Source organism: Homo sapiens, chromosome 6 (genome assembly GCF_000001405.40).
Source record: "Homo sapiens chromosome 6, GRCh38.p14 Primary Assembly".
NCBI lineage: Eukaryota > Metazoa > Chordata > Mammalia > Primates > Hominidae > Homo > Homo sapiens.
The window spans coordinates 21,843,903-21,865,434 of NC_000006.12; the positions used below are offsets into that span (position 1 = coordinate 21,843,903).

The 21,532-nt window shown below is 44.5% G+C and overlaps 1 long non-coding RNA gene across 1 annotated transcript in view, besides 3 other annotated features; it reads left to right on the top strand.

Annotated features, from left to right (window-relative positions):
• The window catches only part of CASC15 (cancer susceptibility 15), a 529,408-nt gene that overhangs the window by 177,490 nt on the left and 330,386 nt on the right, over positions 1-21,532 (top strand). The window lies entirely within an intron of this gene.
• Positions 3,155-3,204: an enhancer, noted in NCBI's record as "active region_24143". NCBI's record gives its function as "activates an Ori minimal core promoter by ATAC-STARR-seq in GM12878 lymphoblastoid cells {active_cell/tissue: GM12878}" and the evidence as "EXISTENCE:reporter gene assay evidence [ECO:0000049][PMID:35858748]".
• Positions 3,235-3,364: an enhancer, noted in NCBI's record as "active region_24144". NCBI's record gives its function as "activates an Ori minimal core promoter by ATAC-STARR-seq in GM12878 lymphoblastoid cells {active_cell/tissue: GM12878}" and the evidence as "EXISTENCE:reporter gene assay evidence [ECO:0000049][PMID:35858748]".
• Positions 12,516-12,810: a silencer, noted in NCBI's record as "tiled region #6328; K562 Repressive non-DNase unmatched - State 22:ReprW". NCBI's record gives its function as "represses a minimal TATA promoter and a strong SV40 promoter by Sharpr-MPRA in K562 cells {active_cell/tissue: K562}" and the evidence as "EXISTENCE:reporter gene assay evidence [ECO:0000049][PMID:27701403]".

Here is a 21,532-nt window from a genome sequence, read left to right on the forward strand (position 1 = left end):
GGTTGTGTGTAAAATATGTACGCTTTCACATGCGGCGGGGGCATCTTTATGCTTTGGCTCAGATGGCGCATATGAAAGAAATTAGGTGATTCTAATTATATAGCCCCCAAATAGTGAGGATCCCAATTCTTCTCCTTCCCTCTTTGAATCTATTTAATAGTTTACCTTTGAACCAAGTTAATTAGGAAAAGGGACAGGCTACAGTCATTTCATTTGGCTGTTTTTGGCATCCAGGAAAGTGTGGGGTGGGGAGCTCATCAGAGGGAAACCAAGGGAAGCTCGTAGACATTGAACTTGCTCTGATCAGATTATTAATTTTCTTCTCCTTGTACGTTGTTAAATCTGTAGAAAAGGAACATCAGCTCAAGATCTGTCGCTCTGGCTCCGGGCCAGCATGCCAAATTCTGTCATCTTTGCAGCATGGCCAAGCATCTTTATTACATGTTATAATTCTGGTTTTTGAGCTTGATCCAGTGATCCTGCTACAGCATCAGATGGTTTGGGATGTGGAAAAAGAAGAGGGCTATATTCATCTGTAGATGAGGTTTGGGGAGAATTGTAAGAGCCAGAAAGGTGGAGTGGTTGTCTAGGGCAGGGACTTTTCATGGATGCTACAGACACCTCCTTTGTGCTGCCTCGAATTTGAAATGCATTATTAATTTCTGTTCAATACAGATCGTTGATGTCAAACCAAAAATAAATGTGGGCCCTACTCCTGCTCTGGCCATTACATCTCTCAGCAGCCCAGCAATTAGCACCAACCTTGAGAACAGAGTGCCATCATTGATGTGACAGTTTCGTCCCTATTGTCCTGTTCCTGGGTGCATGGGTGACCCTTGACCTCCATTGGTCTCGGAGTGGGAAACTGAACTTATGAACTGTTCGGGCTGCGCTGGCCTCAGATTAACCTGGGCAAGGTTAACTTTCTCACTCTCTTCTTCAAAAGTGCTTTAGAGGGTGAGGAAGTACTAGGAGTAAATAATAATTTTAAAAAATGGTTGGGAGGGGAAAAACAATTGCATCAATTTCCTGAGTACAGACACCCCTAACCTGCCTTTTGCAAATAATCTCCCTTTTGTCTGCTCTTAGGGGTTTTGCAGATGAAGCCTTGGCTTTGGCTTGTCAATGAGGACTTTTCAGAAGCTCCAGAATGCCTTTAGCGGCTTTGCAGGAAGCGGTGACACAAAGTTCCAGCCAGTCTCCCCCTCCTTCCACTTATTGTTTCAGAATTGTCAGAAAACAGGCTGGGATGAGGAGGAAGAGCTACTGTGAGGGCTTTTTTTTTGTTGTTAGTTTGGCTGCTGAATGAAAGCAAGCACTTTATTTAGAAGTGAGTAGGGAGGGAAATGCAGCTTAGGGTTGACACCCTTCTGGTGCTTATCCATAAATATGAAATGGTGTTAGAACACCAGACACCAGAGAGCTTTCTGATTGGCTGTTGGTGATGTCATCATGTCATTAATACTGTGCTCAGAAAATAAACTGATCCGCCTGTTTTCCTTCTTTCTCTCTTTCTTTCTTTCTTTCTTTCTAGCTGAAATGTATGAAATCCATTTTGTAATCTAAAATGAGGTGCTTCAGTCAGGACATTTCGAAAGAATTATTATGTTTCTCATGTGTTCAGAGTCATTTTGGTATTCACTTGAGCAAAGCAATAGTCACCCACAAGTATTCAGCCTATCTTGTCTTATTGCTTAAAAGTAAAGGCAGACGCTATTCAACACCTGGGTACCAACAGTTGACATTTACCCACATTAAGTGCTAAGGCTGTAGATGAGGATTTCTTCTTGTCGGCCTTTAAACATCCTAGTAAGCCCAGGGCCAACGCTGGCACAGGGGAAGGTGAGGGATGTGGGTGAGTAATAAGGAGTGCTTTCTTTTTTATTTTCTTATAAACTAATTTTGTTTCTCTACCTGTGATAACTCTGCAGTCCAATTTAAACCTGCCTGCTTTTCCACTTAATGCATGCTCATCTGATCTGTTAGCCTTATAATTGTGTTTCAGCAGGAGGAATACACTTGTGGCATGTCCAAGGTGTGTGTGTGTGTGTGTGTGAAAAATCCAATAGCATTCTTGATATGCAGGAGTGAAATTCTCGGGAGGAAAGCCACTGCCAAGCAACACTCTAACCTCTGCATTGATTTTGGATGCCTAGAGGTCTGGAAGATTTGACAGTTCTCCATTCCTACTGCTTCACTCTCATCCAAGAAGGAATACTGTTTCGATTAATCATTGGGAAGCATTTTGGATAGATATAGCTCTGTGTGTTTTCTTTAAATTAAATATAGAACTGTCCTTTTGAGGGAAAGCCGTGATTCTTTATTGTCAGAAAGTTTGGCTAGAATAACCTTCCCTTTTCTTGTAATATTTAACTTTGCTTGTGAGTAACTATAACAATTCACTTCCTTGCATGCCAGTGTCCTCTTGGGTAGAATCTCCTAATAACATGTACAAATGTTATGTAAATCCCCCCTCCCCCACAAGATGTTTATTGAGTGAAAATGCCTCTAAGATTTTATTCCATTACTGTCAAAATGTCCAAGGTTATTTTACGCATGCTGTGGACATATTATTTGGATTAGCAAAATGTCTAGCAAGCAGGTATAACTGATTCTGGCATGCAACTGTAATCTCTTGTTACAGGGAGACAGTGCATTCCTTTTCAAGGTTACCCTCATTTTTTTGCAAGGTTATAAACCATAGATTTAGGAATCACTGGGGTCAAAGGGAAAAGGGAAAGACAATGAGCCCCATTCATCCTTATGAGCCCTAATGAGTATAGAGATAGTATATTTTCCAGGTTAGAGCCCCATCTCTGACAGGCTTTAATTATCTATGAGCTGAAACAAGAAGCAATATAAACATACAAAAGCATTTCAGGAACAGGTTTTTGAAGGAGATGAATCACCCAAGTTGGTGTCCCACTCAGCCCTTTTGCAAGGGGCCAGCTCCCTCCATTCTGCCTGCCACTTGATCACGTGACAGCTGTTTGCAGACTAAAGGAAAGAAACAATCATTCACTAGCAGGAAACCCAATCCCGGGCAGGTGCAGTTTGAGTAACGACTCTAGGCCTGAAGGTCAGAATGGCTGCAAAGACCTAAGCTTTTGCAGATGGTCTGAGTGGGAGGAGCCAGGTTCAATAACCCTTCTGTAGCCCCCAGGTTGGTCCTTCCTCGGGGAGGGTGCTACCACTTCTCCAGATACTGCTGAACTTTTGAACCCAAGTACAGTACGCTATTTAGGATGTTTGTCATTTATAGCTTTTAGATAAAGCAGTAGCGGATTTTAAGGAAACAGTAGACAGATCCATTTTCCTTTTCCTCCAGTGATGTTAGTGATCTAATTAGAAGTCAGTGTTTTAGCAGCTTCCTCTCTATGTGCTTTGGGTTCTTTTTTTCTAAGAGACGCCTATGGACATGAACAAAAGCCGGATGTTGCACTAGGGCTTCTGAACAAGTGCTCTGCATTAGATACGTCTGGAGTTTACACACCACGCTTTCCTCTGTGCAGACCAAATGAGAGCCTGCCGGGTGTTACGACTCCCTGTGTCCATTGTCAAAGCTGTATTTTCACTGCCTTGAAAAGTGCCCTTCTGCCACTTCATTTTATATCCATTACCAGTGGCCACTTTTTCTATTTATATTGCTTGGAACTAATTGAGATTCCAGGTGCACAAGTGTGTCACACGCAAGGGCTTGGGTACTTGGGCAAGTGTAACAATAGTTCAGGAAGAGATGATCAGCAGCCACCCTTTCTGGGTTGAGGAAACCTCCAAAAAAACCGAATAGAAAGTATCAAATACATAAATTTGAAGGGAGAATATATGAGCCTGGCATCTTCTCAGCTGCAACCTGATTTATTGAAAAAAATGGTGATTGGGGGAAAGTATAGAATATTTGCTTGAAGGAATCCACTTCTCTGAATAGCTCCCTCGTTTCTGTGGCTTGGAGACTGAGACTTAGAATTCCACAATTATACTGTATAGATGAGCCTTGTTCTATATTTGGGATGTAATCTCCACACTCAGGAGCTACATATGGCCGTGAGCACCCACTTAAGAGCTAAAAATGTAAGTTACCGCCTACTTTGTCCTGAATTGGAATCATACATAATTGCTCTATGCTTTAAAAAATCTTCCTTTGAGGAAAGAGTTCAAGATCAAATTGTTAGTGGGTAATCTTATATGAAGCCAAGTATCACTAGCTGTTGAAAGAAGCTACATAAATACTTGTTGTTGAACAAATAAAATAAATGAAGGAAGAATTCACATCTCTCATTACTTAATCAGAAAGTAACATGGTGAGTCAGGAAGCTGTAGGCTTATCCTAGAAGTAAATACCCATCATGAAATGGGCAGAGATCTGGAAGCAGGAACCGATGGGGTGGACTCCTAGAACTAATGAAAATGGAAAGTATGCAAAGTCCAGTGGTTTCTAAATTTGGCTGATCATCAGAGTCAGCTTATGAGCTCTTAAAAACAAAAATAGGCTGGGTGCAGTGGCTCATGCTTGTAATCCCAGCATTCTGGGAGGCTGAGGTGGGCGGATTGCTTGAGCTGAGAAGTTCAAGACCAGGCTGGGCAACATGGCAAAACCCTGTCCCAACAGGAAATACAAAAATTAGTTAGTCATGGTGGTGTGCACCTGTAGTCCCAGCTACTTGGGAGGCTGAGGTGGGAGGATTGCTTGAGCTCAGGGACGTAGAGGCTGCGGTGAGCTTTGATTGAGCCACTGCACTCCAGCCTGGGTGACACAGCGAGACCCTGTCTCAAAAAAAAAAAAAAAAAAAAAAAAAAAAAGCTGGTGCAGTGGCTTATGCTTGTAATCCCAGCACTTCTGGAGGTCAAGATAGGAGGATGCTTGAGGCCAGGCGTTCAAGACCAGCCTGGGCAACATAGCATGACCCCCTCTCTGCAAAAAAATTAAAAAACAAGTTAGCTAAATGTGGTGATGTGCACCTGTAATCCTAGCTATTCGGGAGGCTGAGGTGGGAGGATCACTTGAGCCCAGAAGTTTGAGGCTGCAGTGAACGAGACTTTGACTCTAAAAAGCAAATAAACAACCGAAAAACCCCAAAAGACAAAAATAAAAACAAACACAACATCAATTTCCTGGCCTAGACTCCGAAATCTCTTAATGCCCAGCCTTTGTCCACAGATCAGAAATGCCGGGGATGAGAAGGGGATGTGGAGGTCGAGGGCATGAACCAAGGAGGTGGCCAGGCTTTGCCAGCACAGAGCAAAGGAAAGATACCATTTTGGGGGTTTGTTTTTAAATGGATTCCGCAAACATTTTTTTGAGCACAACACATTGTATCACATTTTGTGATGGAAGTATACAAAACAAAACTCACTTCTGCTGACAGGCCCACAGACAGATTTATCTTGAGCAGAATGACAGCTCCACTTGCTCAGTGTATTGTGGCCCTCTGAGTATCATTAGTAGAGGAACGTAGAGGAGGGAGGAATAACAGGTTCGTAGAAGCCTTTGAGGTGATCTTTAAACTGGTGTTCTGAAGGGTGGGTAGGGTTTTTCTAGGAGTACGAAGGCCAGAGGGGAGATTAGGAAGATAGAAAAAAAAAAAAAAGGGCAAAGACAAGGAAGGAAGAAAGAACAAGGTGTGTTTGCAGAATGGTGAAGAAGGCAAAGGATGATTGGAGGTGAGAGCTGAGCCTGTGGCCAGTGCCTTCGTTTGCAAGACTAAGGTATCTGGAGTTCATAGTATGGTTGACCTTGAACAACATGCGGTTGAATGGCAAAGGCCCACTTATAGGCAGATTTTCTTCCTCCTCTGCCATCCCTGAGAAAGCAAGACCACTTCCTCCTCTTCCACCTTCTCTGCCTACTCAATGTGAAGATTTCTAAGTTTCAGTCTCCAAGGATGAAGACCTTTATAATGATGCCCTTTCACTTAAAGAGTAGTAAATATACTTTTTCTTCCTTATGATTTTCTTTTCTCTAGCTTTATTGTAAGAATACAGTCTATAATACATATGAGATACAAAATATGAGTGCATCGACTATTTTATTGGCAAGGCTTCTGGTCAACAGTAGTTAAGTTTTTGGGGAGTCACAGTTATATGTGGGTTTTTGACTGTGCAAGGTGGTCAGTGCCTCTCACCCCCACATTGTTTTTTGTTTGTTTTTGAGACAGAGTTTTGCTCTTGTCACCCAGGCTGGAGTGCAATGGTGCAGTCTCGGTTCACTGCAACCTCTGCCTCCCGGGTTCAAACGATTCTCTTGCCTCAGCCTCCTGAGTAGCTGGGATTACAGGCGCCCACCACCACGCCTGGCTAATTTTTGTATTTTTAGTAGAGACAAGGTTTTGCCATGTTGGCCAGGCTGGTCTGGAACTTCTGACCTCAGGCGATCCACCTGCCTCCGCCTCTCGAAGTGCTGGGATTATAGGTGTGAGTCACCGTGCCTGGCCTACCCCCACATTGTTTAAGGGTCAATTGTATAATCAACCCTGTTCCCCCCAGAAAGATAAGATGAGATGCTTTTAGGATGTTAGCCTTACCACTCTGGAGTGTAAAAGAAACTGGGGGGGTTGCCCTCAGGCTTAAAGGAGCTGTGGACAGGGAGAGGCACGTTGGGTTTTGTCTCTAAACAGAATACAAGCCCTCTGAGGATGGGCAACTTAACTTCCAAAGATTATTCTCATCTCTGCAGCATGTGGTAGGCACTAATACCATTCTTTGGTTAATTAAAAGATGTTTAATATATGCCTCATTAAGCAGAATAATCAGTATCTCTGAGATGCTTATGTGCTTTATTTTTCTCCTTTTAATAAAAACAAAAATTAGAGGGATAAGAAATAATTAGGGGCAGGCTGTTAGCTCTCACTTCATTTTTTTTTCTCCCTTGATGATTCTCTTTCATTTTTTTTCCATAGCTCACATAGCTCACTTTCTCCCTTGACCTAGTCCTCTGCTGATAACATCAAAGTTAGCACAGCTTGCAGACCTAAGTGGGTTTAGAACACAGCTCTCAAGATGGAGCCATGCAGATATGGAAATTGGATTTTAAGCATCTGTGATCTCTGCCCACTTCCTCTTTAACTAACACATGAGACCCCTCACAATCTCTCTAAGATGTAGAATTGTCCATATCTGTAGACTCGAAGTGCTGTGGCTGAGGACTTTTTTTTTTTTTTTTTTTTTTTTCCCAAGGCAGAAGAATTTTTCTTAGTACAGAACAAAATGAAAAGTCTCCCATGTCTACCTCTATCCACACAGACCCGGCAACCATCCGATTTCTCAATTTTTTCCCCACCCTTCCCGCCTCTCTATTCCACAAAACCGCCATTGTCATCATAGCCCATCCCCAATGAGCCGCTGGGCACACCTCCCAGACGGGGTCGTGGCCGGGCAGAGGGGCTCCTCACTTCCCAGTAGGGGCGGCCGGGCAGAAGCGCCCCTCACCTCCCGGATGGGGCGTCTGGCCGGGCAGAGGGGTCCTCACTTCCCAGTAGGGGCGGCCGGCCGGGCGGGGGGCTGACCCCCCCACCTCCCTCCCGGACGGGGCGGCTGGCCGGGCAGAGGGGCTCCTCACTTCCCAGTAGGGGCGGCCGGGCAGAGGCGCCCCTCACCTCCCGGACGGGGCGGCTGGCCAGGCGGGGGGCTGATCCCCCCACCTCCCTCCCGGACGGGGCGGCTGGCCGGGCAGGGGGCTGACCCCCCCACCTCCCTCCCGGATGGGGCGGCTGGCCAGGTGGGGGGCTGACCCCCCCACCTCCCTCCCGGACGGGGCGGCTGGCCGGGCAGAGGGGCTCCTCACTTCCCAGTAGGGGCGGCCGGGCAGAGGTGCCCCTCACCTCCCGGACGGGGCGGCCGGCCGGGCGGGGGGCTGACCCCCCCACCTCCCTCTCCTCACTTCCCAGTAGGGGCGGCCGGGCAGAGGCGCCCCTCACCTCCCGGACGGGGCGGCTGGCCAGGCGGGGGGCTGATCCCTCCACCTCCCTCCCGGACGGGGCGGCTGGCCGGGCAGGGGGCTGACCCCCCCTCCCCCCTCCCGGACGGGGCGGCTGGCCGGGCGGGGGGCTGACCCCCCACCTCCCTCCCGGACTGGGCGGCTGGCCGGGCGGGGGGCTGACCCCCCCACCTCCCTCCTGGACGGGGCGACTGGCCGGGCAGAGGGGCTCCTCACTTACCAGTAGGGGCGGCCGGGCAGAGGAGCCCCTCACCTCCCGGACGGGGCGGCTGGCTGGGCGGGGGGCTGACCCCCCCCCCACCTCCCTCCCGGACGGGGTGGCTGCTGGGCGGAGAGGCTCCTCACTTCCCAGATGGGGTGGCTGCCGGACGGAGGGGCTCCTCACTTCTCAGACGGGGCGGTTGCCAGGCAGAGGGTCTCCTCACTTCTCAGACGGGGCGGCCGGGCAGAGACGCTCCTCACCTCCCAGACAGGGTTGCGGCCCAGCAGAGGCGCTCCTCACATCCCAGACAGGGCGGCGGGGCAGAGGCGCTCCCCACTCAGACGATGGGCGGGTCAGGCAGAGATGCTCCTCACTTCCTAGATGGGATGGCGGCGGGGAAGAGGCGCTCCTCGCTTCCTAGATGGGCTGGCGGCCGGGCAGAGACGCTCCTCACTTTCCAGACTGGGCAGCCAGGCAGAGGGGCTCCTCACCTCCCAGACGATGGGCGGCCAGGCAGAGACGCTCCGGCTGAGGACTTTCTTTGTGCTTATTTTTATGGCTGGTTTATTTGCATCGTTGCAGAATATTCATAAATCAGAAAAGAATTTTTTTTCTTTCTCCTTTAAGGATACCAAATCCAGGTGGGAAGTAATGATCTTGGTGAATTCTAGCACTTGTCAATTTGAGAGTGTTCAGGGAAAACAAATGAAAGAGAAAGGATGAATTTGTTTGTATGCTATCGTTCACTAATTCAAAGCTGCAGACATTTCTTTCTTACTATACTTTTGAAGTTAAGGATTGGAACTGAATAATAGACAGCCTTCCAACATGAAACATGACCAAGCTTGAGGGATTTTATTGGGGTTTTTGATATTGCATTGTTTTCTAGTTTCCCTTTGTCTTTGATCAACTTATTCCGATGACAAGAATTTGGTCATGTTATTGCTTTTCTCTTTCCCCAAAGCTTGTCTTATGTCATGGGAATTCTTTCTCTTTTTTCTTTTCTCAGTAATTTTGTTGATTGCAAATAAATAAACTAAGTATTTATCTAGACTTAGTTTAAATATACCAGTCAGTTGGAAGTCTGCTTTTATTTTTCCTTCAAGTATTTTCAGTTTTCTATTTAAATGTGTTCATAGTAAAGAATTTTAAATTCTAAATTATATAAAACCCATTCATCCTGAATATTGGGCTAAGGCTTATCTTTGCTTCGTAAACCTTTCTCAGTGCTGCAAATTAGGAGCTAAGTAATACTGTCCTAGTGGTGGTGGTGGTGGTGGTGGTCGTGGTGGTGGTGGTGGTGGTGGTGGTGTGTTAAAAATCCTGGAGTATGAACTGTTTTCAAGTGTCTTCAAGTACTTCAGAAGTCTCCATTTTTATAGTAGCACTTGATATGGTAATTATATATGATTCTCCTGTGTTCATTAAAATAGGAGCCTAGGGCTTCTCTGACAATTTGTTAGCTTCCCATAGGTTGCAAGTAATAAAATTGCCTTGCTCTAAAAATCTGTAATTCATTGCTTTCACTAATTCAGATGGGCTTTCTCTCCATTCTTTTTCCTGGTAGATAATGAGAGGATTTTTTTTTTCTCATTCCTCTGAGAATATGAGGGTAGTCCAGCTATGTTAGGAAACAGAAGATATGGGTTATCTTGGAAGGTGAATGTGGCTATTTTTATTGCTTTGGTCTTAAAGGACCTGTAATTTCAAAAGCATGATAATTCCCTACCTCTTAGTTCCTGCAGTTAACTCCTAGGCCCGTATTTCCAGAAAGGATGTATATTTTTTTCCTGAAACCAAAATAAAAGTTTCTATCATCTCAATAAGGCAGCTTTTTAAAACGTGGAAAAAAAGTTTAAAAACAAATCCGCCTAATAGCCAAAAGGTAGAACCAACCCAGAAGTCCATCCATAGATGAATGGATAAACAAAATGTTGTATATACACACAATGGGAGATTATTCAGCTTTAAAAGATGGAAATTATGACACATGCTACAACATGGATGGATCTGAGGACACTGTGCTAACTCAGATAAGCCAGACACAGAGGGACAGATATGGTATGATCTCAAAAATATGAAATATTTCGAATATGCAAATTCATAGAAACGGAAAGTAGCTTAGAGCTTACCTGGAGCAGGGGTGGAGGAATGGAGTTACTGTTTAATGGGTACAGAGTTTGTTTTGCAAATTCAAGAGTTCTGTGGCAGGCTGCTGGTGATAGAAAAACAATGTGAACAAATGTGCTTAATGCCACTGAATTGTATACTTAAAAATGGCTAAAATATGGCGTGTGCCTGTAATCCTATCTACTAGGGAGGCTGAGGCAGGAGAATTGCTTGAACCTGGGAGGTGGAGGTTGCATGAGCCGAGATTGTGCCACCACACTATAGTGGGAGACTGTGTCTCAAAAAAAAAAAAAAAGGCTGAAATGGTAAATTTTATGTTATATATATATATATATATATATATATATATATACACACACACACACACACCCACCCACAATTAAATTTTTTTTTTTTTTTTGAGATGGAGTCTCACTCTGTCACCAGGCTGGAGTGCAGTGGCATGATCTCAGCTCACTGCTACCTCCGCCTCCCGGGTTCAAGCGATTCTCCTGCCTCAGCCTCCTGAGTAGCTGGGACTACAGGCGCCCACCACCACGCCTGGCTAATTTTTGTATTTTTAGTAGAGACGGGGTTTCACCATGTTGGTCAGGCTGGTCTCGAACTCCTGACCTCATGATCTGCCCGCTTAGGCCTCCCAAAGTGCTGGGATTACAGGCGTGAGCCACTGCGCCCGGCACACAATTAAAATTTTAAAGAAATCTTCAGGGAAAGGGAGTACTACTAATACTAAGTTTTTAGAACTTACAAGTTATATAATACAAATTGGTCATTTGAGCTGATTTTCAATATGCTGACACATGCAATATAAATTGCAAATATGTATGTCACTACCACAACATCTAAAAGAAGTCAAAGATGTACACAATGTTTATGACAAATAAAACTATTGCATGTAATGTCAGAAAAATATCCCCCAAAAAAAACCCAATTAGATTTGCTAATTTGTGGTATTTGTGTGTCTCCTGTACAGACATTTTCTCATTTGGATTCCTGACACTTGGTAAATAAAATTACTATTATTGTTCTCTTGTTTCTTTGAATTTGGAATTCCTGGAACACAGGAAAATTTGATACACGTCCTAAAAGAAAAAGAGGAGAACAAACTGAGTGCTACTTAATATGGGGGCAGCACAGTGGCTCACACCAATAATTCCAGTGCTTTGGGAGGCTGAGGCTGGAGGATTGCTTGAGGCCAGGAGTTCCAGACCGGCCTGGGCAACATAGCAAGATCCCATCTCTACCAAAAAAATAAAAATTAGCCAGGGTGGTGGCATGAGCCTGTAGTTCTAGCTACTTAAGTAGGTTGAGGCGGGAGGATTGCTTGAGCCCAGGAGTTTGAGGCTGCAGTGAGCTATGATTTCTTCACTGCACTCTAGTCTAGGTGACAGAGTGAGACCCTGTCTCTAAAAAAAGAAAAATATAAGTAAATAAAGTGAGTATGCATGTCTGAAATTTGTTTACCTGAATGTTCTGATTTAGTGGGTCTGGCGTGGGGCCTGAGAGTCTGCTGTGCTCACAAGCTTCACCTGAATCCCTACTTCGGAGGTCCTGGGAAGGCTTTGGATGGTTCTGCTTTCATCACTGCTAGTTTAGGATCCACGCTAAATCACGCTGGTTACTTACCATGAATCAGTTTTCTGGCTTTCGTGATATTGTTGCTGCTGTCATCTCAGTCTTCTTGTCCTTGTAGATTTCTGCATTCTGAGAAACTCCTTTAGTTTTATTTTAGTGGAGTATTTTGATAGGGCGAAATGAAGGGAACTGAGGTGGCACTCATTTTTAAAAGGAAGTTCCCAATTCTGTTTTCACTTTTTTTCTGGCTAAGTGCTCATTGTTGGGGGAGGGGAGAACACTGACTAATTTAGCAGAATCAGCAGCATGTATCAGCATTCCCCTCTGACCTCAAGTTTATTTGAATCAATGTTGATTGAGCGCTAAGTATGTGCTGGGCATTGTGCTTATCCTTGATGGTTGGTAGATATGGTCCCTGCTATAATGAAACTAGTGCTATATGCTTTAACCCAAAAAAGGAGGGTGGGGCACACAGATGACACAATCTTGACGGAGCATGTTCTTACAGTCTGTTGTATGTGACAGTTGTGAAAGCTGCTTCCTTAGACCCCACCCCCACTGTCTCACTCGGCAATTTCAGTCTCATCCCCAGATTGTTCTCCTTTATCTGTTTTTATGATTTCTACCCCTTTGCTATCCCGGTTGAAGTGGAAAGTTTTAAGCCATAGAATATGCTTGTTTCTGTGAAGGGTCTTTCTAAATTGTGTCCATGCCACTACATCATTCTTACTTCAGACAGAATAATTGCTTTCTAATTTGGCAGAGTTAGGGGAAATATAAACATGCCCTTATTAGCATTGTGTGGAAGAAGAATTCTGACATGGCCCCCATGATTCACTCCCAGACCCGTGTTGCATACACACCCTGAGTAATCCCTGGAACTATGTCTGTGATGAATTTACTCCCTTGACTAGTTATGTTCTATGGTATAATTGACCTTAAGATCTGGAGAATATCCAGGTGAGTCTGACTTAATCACACCAGCCCTTTAAAAGCAGAGAGTTTTGTCTTGCTGCTTGAGGAAAGAGAAGCTGGAGATTCTTAGCATGAGGAAGATTCAAATGCACCTTTGTGAGCTGAAGATGGAGGGGGCTGTGTGGCAAGGAATGCCGGCAGCCCCAAGGAGCTGACAGCCAGCAAGGAAGTGGGGATGTCAGTCCTACAACTGCAAGGAACTGGATTCTATTAATGACAAGAATGAGCTTTTAAGGGGCTTTTTCCTCTAGAGGCTTTAGATGAGAACTCAGTCCAACACCTAGATTTCAGCCTTGTGACACACTGAGCAGAGAACCCAGTCATGATGGGCTGGGCTTCTGACTTACGAAACTGTGAGCTAGTAGATGCCTGTTGCCTAAGCCACTAAGTTTGTGGTAATTTGTTATGCACCAATAAAAAACTAATATACATATTAGTGTGCAAATGCATTTGAAAAAGAGTCTACAAGTACATTCGAAGAAGACTGTAGAAGGCTTGCCTGTGAAAAACCAAGCTAATGCTGCTTAGCCAGCTGGGCAAAGAAAGTCTAGCTACCTTACACATAATAGGAATGTAAAATGTCATCGATACATAGGAAGTATCAAACCATGGAAAGGGCATAGATTTAGAGAGAAGAAATATGAGCAAGTCTTGGCTCTCTTACTTCCTAGCCAGGGGAGGCCATTCCTCTGAATCTCACCTATAAAATGAAGGGGTTGACCAGATGCATCTCATCACAATGTAACCCCTGGTTTTATTTAGCAAGCGATGTACTCATTTCCATAACTTTCTGTGGTTTAGCCTAGCCCTGACCCACTGGGTATAGGATAAGGGTTGTTGTCTGATGGATGTCATTTTTGGGTAGTTTTTTTAAAAGCAGCTTAAAATTTTATGGGTTTTTAAGGATCAGTCCAAAATATTCCTGTCTCAGTACAATAATCTGATATTTGCATCAAAAAGCTACCGCAAAATATATTACTTGGGGCTGAGGCAGGTGGATCACTTGAGGTCAGGAGTTTGTGACCCCAGCCTGGCCAACATGGTGAAACCCCGTCTCCGTTAAAATTACTAAAATGCCGGCGTGGTGGCTCACGCCTATAATCCTAGCACTTTGGGAGGCTGAGGCAGGCAGATTACCTGAGGTCAGGAATTCAAGACCAGCCTGGCCAACATGGTGAAACCCCATCTCTACTAAAAAAAAAAAAAATACAAAAAATTAGCCTGGTGCAGTGGCGTGCGCCTGTAATCACAGCTACTCGGGAGGCTGAGGCAGGAGAATTGCTTGAACCCAGGAGGCAGAGGTTGCAGCGAGCCGAGATCGTGTCACTGCATTCCAGCCTGGACGACAAGAGCGAAACTGCATCTCAAAAACAAAAAACAAAAAACATGCACCTAGAAATTGATCTTTAAAAATCTGTTTTTGAAACTCAGGGTGATTCTGACTAGAAGCATTTCTCTGCCTGGAACACCTGCTCATCAGAACTCATTCTTAGTGTGCTTCCACAGTGTTTTGGGGGTGGGCACATAGCCCATTCTTGTGCATCACTGTGCGTTGAGTCTGGTCTGTTGAACTTAGAATTATGTTTAAAAATCTGTCTGTGTGTCTAAGTACTGGTGTTTTACAAGAAGTGGTTGCATGGAGCATCTGTGTTGCTAGTCTTTTTCCTAGGAAATGATTCTTCTCTGAGCTTAAGGATCTTGTTCACACTGCAAAATAAAAATCTGTAGAAAATTAAGGACACTCAAGTTATAATATTTCAGGGATATAATGATATTTCAATGGGAAAATGCTAATTATGGGGAGCTTGCTTTCCCCCAACACCTGGAGCTTCTTAACCTGCTACCAACTAGCTGCTGATTTTCATAAATAGGACTGTACGAGGGGAAAAAATCCCTCATCAACTCAGCCACCAGGAAGATGCTGGAAAGTGTCTGTCAGTTGTTTAAAAGGGAGAAAAGGAATACCTCAGCCGCCTCCCAGGATGCGTGAAGCCTCCAGGAATATCAGCCAACCTGGGCTTTCCGCATGGAAAACAAAGCTGCCTGAATGGGTATGTTTTAAGACTATAACTTCTGAGTTGCTCTCCTGGATATTTTCAAACACATCTTAAAAAGGCAGGTGGACTTAGTGGCTCACACCTGTAATTTCAACACTTTGGGAGGCTGAGGTGGGAGGATCGCTTGAAGCTAGGAGTTCGAGGTGCGGTGAACTATGATTGTGCCTCAGCACTCCAGCCTGGGCGACAGAGTGAGATCCTGATTCTAAAAAAAACAAAAACCAAAAAAAGGCCAGAGGCGGAAATGCCTCACTGTTGTGGTTCATGATTCCATCACAGACATTAATGAAACCTTCTATCCACCCAAGGGGCACACCACTGTTTCCCCCTCCATCACTTTTAATTTTGCCCCAACGTTGCCAGCCCTCACTTGACATCTGGCTTGTGAGGATGACTTCTGTGGAGCTAGCTATTGTTTCTTCCGTCATTTTTAAACAATACTAGAGGACAGTGGGGAGGGGAGAGGGAATCACAGCTCCCACACAAGCAGATGCCTATTTGAGAGTGTGCAAAAGCAGTGTGACATTCTGGAAATAGTAGTCTCTTTTCACTTCCTTGCCCATTCTTCTCCATCCATACAAATGACGTATTTTCTGACATTGGTTCAGGGTTTGAAACCTCAGGCTTTCAGAGTCTGCCCACATTTTTGAGAATTCTGTCTTAATGAATGTATGCCGTGAAAAGCATTAACCATTACTTTCATTCTGTTCTAGTGAAACCGCCCAATGCTCTGCGCTTGTACAAAATCCTTTGGACTTTTAATTGGGCGATAACTTTGCAAGTGGTTAAGCACTATACAAATTAAACTTCAGTCATTCAGCAATGTTATTGAACACTTATATCTTCCCTTAATTTCCTTACTCTTCATATCTATGTTTTATGAAATTGAGGGCAGCACAGGTTAGCAAAAGTGGTTTGATCTTAGAATGCTTTGGTATTTAATTCTGTGCAGAGTTTCTGGTAATTCACTCTCACCAGCTTAGCCATGTAATGCCACAACTCCATAGATGGTGGTTGGGCACCATGGGTTTAGGCACCACCTCCTCTCATTTCTGTTTGATGTTTTCAAGTGAAGTTAATTTACAGTAGGATATAGAAAGGTTAATGATTTGGGCAGAGAACTTGCTTTCCCTCTACCATATAATTGTGATTTTGACTCTACTTTTTGTTTTGTGTGTGTGTGTGTGTGTGTGTGTGACGAAGTCTCTGTTGCCCTCGTTGGAGTGTGGTGGCGTTATCTCGGCTCACTGCAACCTCCACCTCCCAGGTTCAAGCGATTCTCCTGCCTCAGCTTCCCTAATAGCTGGGACTACAGGCATATGCCACCACACCTGGCTACTTTATGTAGTTTTAGTAAAGACAGGGTTTTACCATGTTGGCCAGGCTGGTCTTGAACTCCTGACCTCAAGTGATCTGCCCACCTCAGCCTCCCAAAGCGCTGGGATTACGTGCCTGGCTTGATTTTGACTCTGTTGAAGTCAAAGACAAATGATCCAGCAGAGACAGTATAAGGTCTTATCCTGATTCTCAAATTGTGTGGAAGACAAATATGACTTAAAAATGACATTAAGACAAAAGAGTAAGTAGAGGCTGAGAAATGGGATTGGATGAGGCATGTACTCCATGTGGAATGCCTATTCAGTTAATTGAAGGGTGAAAATCTTGCTTTGTAAAACAAAGTGCTATAAAAATGGATACCTGGAGACCATATCCTACTTCTCCCTGCAATTTTCGAATATTAATCTGAAAGGGAGAAATAAATGACCCAAAAGGGTCTTGGGGTAGAGAACCATGCTCTAGACGTTTCTTGTTGGTCATGTCTCCATCTCAGCAGGAGGATGAGTGGTGTCCTGCACCCATGCAAGACTTTTAAGTTCTGGCCAGGCGCAGTGGCTCATGCCTATAATCCCATCACTTTGGGAGGCCGAGGCGGGTGGATCACATGAAGTCAGGAGTTGGAGACCAGCCTGGACAACATGGTGAAATTCCGTCTCTACTAAAAATACAAAAATTAGCCGGGCACAGTGGCGGGCAGCTATAGTCCCAGCTACTCAGGAGGCTGAGGCAGGAGAATCACTTGAACCTGGGAGGCGGAGGTTGCAGTGAGCTGAGATTGCGCCATCACACTCCAGCTTGGGCAACAGAGTGAGACTCCGTCTCAAAAAAAGAGAAGATTTTTAAGTTCCTAAGCTGCTGCTTGAGGTCTGAAGCCTCAAATGATGCAGCTAATGAGTAGGTCAACATATTCCTTTTCTTCCCCTTATAAATGGAGTAATACATTTAAAATGTAGAGGCTGGTTGCCAGCAGTGGCTTAGGTCTGTGAGGTCCAGGGTGACGAAGTGCACATGTGTTGATTAAGTTTCAATCCTCTGCCTCTAGAAAGGCCTCGTCCTTCAGCCTGGTGTCATGGATGGCGTGTCCATGGCCTCTTCTGCCTGGATGGAGGTCCCATGATCTCCATGCTGCCAGCTCCTATCCCATGGCCATGCTTGGGGGCTCCCTTTGACATCTTCAGAGGACCCTGAGAACTTTTCCTGACGCCTCCGTCTCCCAATCTGTCTTAGTCTGTTCCTGCTGCTGCAACAGGAAACCTCAGACTGGGTAATTTTTAAACAACAGACATTTATTTCTCATCATTTTAGAGGCAGGGAAGTCCAAGATCAAGGCATCAGCAAATTCACTTGTCTGTTGAGGACTCAGCCTCCGCTTCTAAAATGGTGCCTTGTTGCTGTGTCCTTGCATGTCGAAGGCAGGAGGGCAAAAGGGGATGATTGTGTTGGCTGTGTCCTCACATGGTGGAAGAGATGGAAGAGGGAGGCAGCTCTCCTTTTTTTTTTTTTTTTTTTTTTTTTGAGACACAGTTTCGCTCTTGTTGCCCAGGCTGGAGTGCAATGGCGTAATCTTGGCTCACCACAACCTCCACCTCCTGGGTTGAAGTGATTCTCCTGCCTCAGCCTCCCGAGTAGCTGGGATTACAGGCACCCGCCACCATAGCCAGCTAATTTTGTATTTTTTTAGTAGAGATGGGGTTTCTCCATATTGGTGAGGTTGGTCTCGAACTCCTGACCTCAGGTAATCTGCCCACCTCAGCCTCCCAAAGTGCTGGGATTACAGTCGTGAGCCACTGTGCCTGGCCTGAAGCCTCTTTTATAAAGCCATTAATCCCATTAATGATGGTGGCGCCCCCATGGCCTATTACCTAACAAGGGTCTTGCTTCTTAATACATTACATCACCTTGGAGGTTAATTTCCAGCGCGTGAATTTTGGAGGAAGACATACGTCCAAACCATAGCAGTATCTCATTATGCTTTGAGTCTCTCTTTGCTTCTGGCCAAGGCGTTTCAGTTTCTTCTTTCTTGCTTCAGAGATGAATAGTCTTCCTGGGCCCAGCGCTGCAGTGGTCTCCCTTTTCCTGTGGTGCCTTGTTTTTTTTGTTTTGTTTTGTTTTGTTTTTGTTTTTGAGACGGAGTTTCACTCTTGTTGCCCAGGCTGGAGTGCAATGGCATGATCTTGGCTCACTGCAACCTCCACCTCCAGAGTTCGAGCAATTCTCCTGCTTCAGCCTCCCAGGTAGCTGGGATTACAGATGCCCGCCACCACACCTGGCTAATTTTTTGTATTTTTAGTAGAAACAGGGTTACACCATGTTAGCCAGGCTGGTCTTGAACTCCTGACTTCAGGTGATCTGCCCGCCTCAGCCTCCCAAAGTGCTGGGATTACAGATGTGAGCCACCGTGCTCGGCCGGTGCCTTCTTTTTGTGTTTAAATAGCTCAGGTCTTATTTTGCCCCTTCCTCTCCTCCTCCCTACTTTCCTTCTCTTACTGCCTATGATCAGGTAGCAGGAAAGGTGGGTGCTTTCATGTGGACTGTCAGGTTGATGGACTCTTGGGAGTCAAGTCAAGGCCTTGTCTAACTCATCTTCCCTCATCTTAATTTCCTTGTTTTCGACTGGGTGCAGTGGCTCACCCCTGTAATCCCAGGACTTTGGGAGGCCGAGGCAGGTGGATCACAAGGTCAGGAGTTCAAGACCAGCCTGGCCAACATGGTGAAACCCCATCTCTACTAAAAAAAAAAAATACAAAAATTAGCTGGGCATGGTGGCATGTGCCAGTAATCCCAGCTGCTTGGGAGGCTGACGCAGGAGAATCACTTGAACCTGGGAGGCGAAGGTTGTAGTGAGCCGAGATTGTGCTACTGCACTCCATCCTGGGCAACAGAGCAAGACTCTGTCTCAAAAAAAAAAAAAAAAAATTCCTTGTTTTCTTGCATCAAAATTTAAGAACACAAATCGTAAAATGTGGAAGGTCTGTGGGACAGTAGGGGTAAATTTCCACTAGAGTAGAAGTCAGAAGCCTGGCCTCAAGTGCCCTCTCTGCTATTTTCTAGTTGGAAAACCTTTGACAAGTGAGTTAACCTTTTTTGAGCTTCAATTTCCTCATTTTAAAAATAGACATCGTATTGATCTTATCTATAGGGCCACTAAAAAAATCAACTGGGATAAGGTATACCTACAAACTTTGCAAATTGGCTGGGCATGGTAGCTCAAGCCTGTAATCCCAACAATTTGGGAAGCCAAGGCGGGTGGATTGCCTGACCTCAGGAGTTTGAGACCAGCCTGGACAACATGGCAAAACTCCGTCTCTACACAAAATACAAAAATTAGCTGGGCCTGGTGGTGCACGCTTGTAGTCCTAGCTACTTGAGGGGGTGAAGGCGGGGGGATCGCTTGAGCGCAGGAGGTTGAGGCTGCAGGGAGCTGTGATTGCACCACTGCACTCCAGCCTGGGTGTTAGCAAGACCCTGTCTCAAACAAACAAACAAACAAACAAAAAATTTATAGATAAATGAAAACAAGAAAAAGCTTTGCAAGTTCTAGAAAGAGCGAGTAACCTGTTTCAGGCAATATGCTAAGCACCGTAGGACAATAGTGAGAACAGTGCAGGAAGCTGGGCGCGGTGGCTCACGCCTGTAATCCCAGCACTTTGGGTGGCCAAGCCGGGGGATCACTTGAGGTCAGGAGTTCGAGACCAGCCTGGCCAACATGGTGAAACCCCATCTCTACTAAAAATACAAAAATTAGCCGGGCGTGGTGGTGCATGCCTGTAATCCTGCCTATAATTTTAGTTATTTGGGAGATTGAGGTGGGGGAATTGCTTGAACTCAGGAGTTGGAGGTTGCAGTGAGTAGAGGTAGCACCATTTCACTCCAGCATGGGCAATAAGAGAGAAACAACCTCTCAAAAAAAAAAAAAGTTAAAAAAAAAAAAGAAAACAGTGCAGGATTAAAAGTGGGAAGACTGGTTTGAATCCCAAACATGGCATTTCCTAGCTGTGTGACTTTGGTAAATTACTTAATCACTTTGAAGTTTATTTTCATCATTTCTAAAATAGGGACAATAACGTGAGGTAAAATGTAATGCTATTGCTAGATATCAAAAATTACCATGTGTCATACAAATGTTAGCTGTTTCATTGTTACTCTCCAAAATTATTTAGTGTAGTGATACAGAGACTAATTTTTGGATATATTTAAAAGTACCATACTGTTAGAATCCTGGGAAATGAAGGAGTATTTCTTGTGATCCACGTTGCAACCTCTTTTGGAATCTAGACATGAATGTAAGGAGCCTGGCCAAGTTTCTTTATCTTCCACATAAAATAAAGTTCACTTGATTAATTAAGTGCATTGTTTTATCTTTTTTTTTTTTTTCAGGATCTTGAGATACAAGAAAAGTTTTCTATCTCGTATTTGGCAAACCTAATTCACTAACTGTGGTGTAACTTTTAAAACCTTTGGTATTTTAATGTTTATATTTTTAAAAGGGAGGTAAAAAAATTTGTCTTACTAGGTGGGATGGCCGTAAGGTAAATTGAGATAAATTAAGGATAGATTTTGGAAACCTGAAAGCTAACATGTTTTACTGCCATCTTTTCAATATATTTTGAAACAAATATAAAGCTTTTGTCCAAAAGTGCTTTGTTTAGGACAGGCTTAAAATTACTAAAAAACTAAAATGAATTAGGTTCTTTCATTATTTAAAATTATTTCAATTTAAAGGTTTGTTTCATTAAAGTAGCCTTGACTTTCACAGTTCAAAATAATGTTAATATAAAATATAGTTGAAATAATCTTTCTAAATAACAGAAACAGAGACATTAACAAAGACACGCAATTTTTTTTTTTTTTTTTTTTTTTTTTTTTTTTTTTTTTTTGAGACAAGGTTTCCTTCTGTCACCCAGGCTGGAGGGCAGTGGCGCGATCTCAGCTCACTGCAACCTCCGCCTCCTGGGTTCAAGCGATTCTATTGCCTCAGCCTCCCTAGCAGCTGGGACTACAGGTGCACGCCACTATGCCCGGTGAATTTTTGTATTTTTAGTAGAGACAGGGTTTCACCATATTGGCCAGGCTGGTCTCGAATTCCTGACCTTGTGATCCACCTGCCTTGGCCTCCCAAGGTGCTGGGATTACAGGCGTGAGCAACCGTGCCTGGCCAAAACCACGCAATTTTAAGGAGTACTCAGACATGCCAGTGTATCACAAATCAAACAGATACCAAATAAGAATGCTAAGGATTTGATCAATGTAATTAATAAGTAGAATTAAGAGATACATTGTATTTTGCATGCCACTGAGAATGGAACCTTTCAAATGCACAAG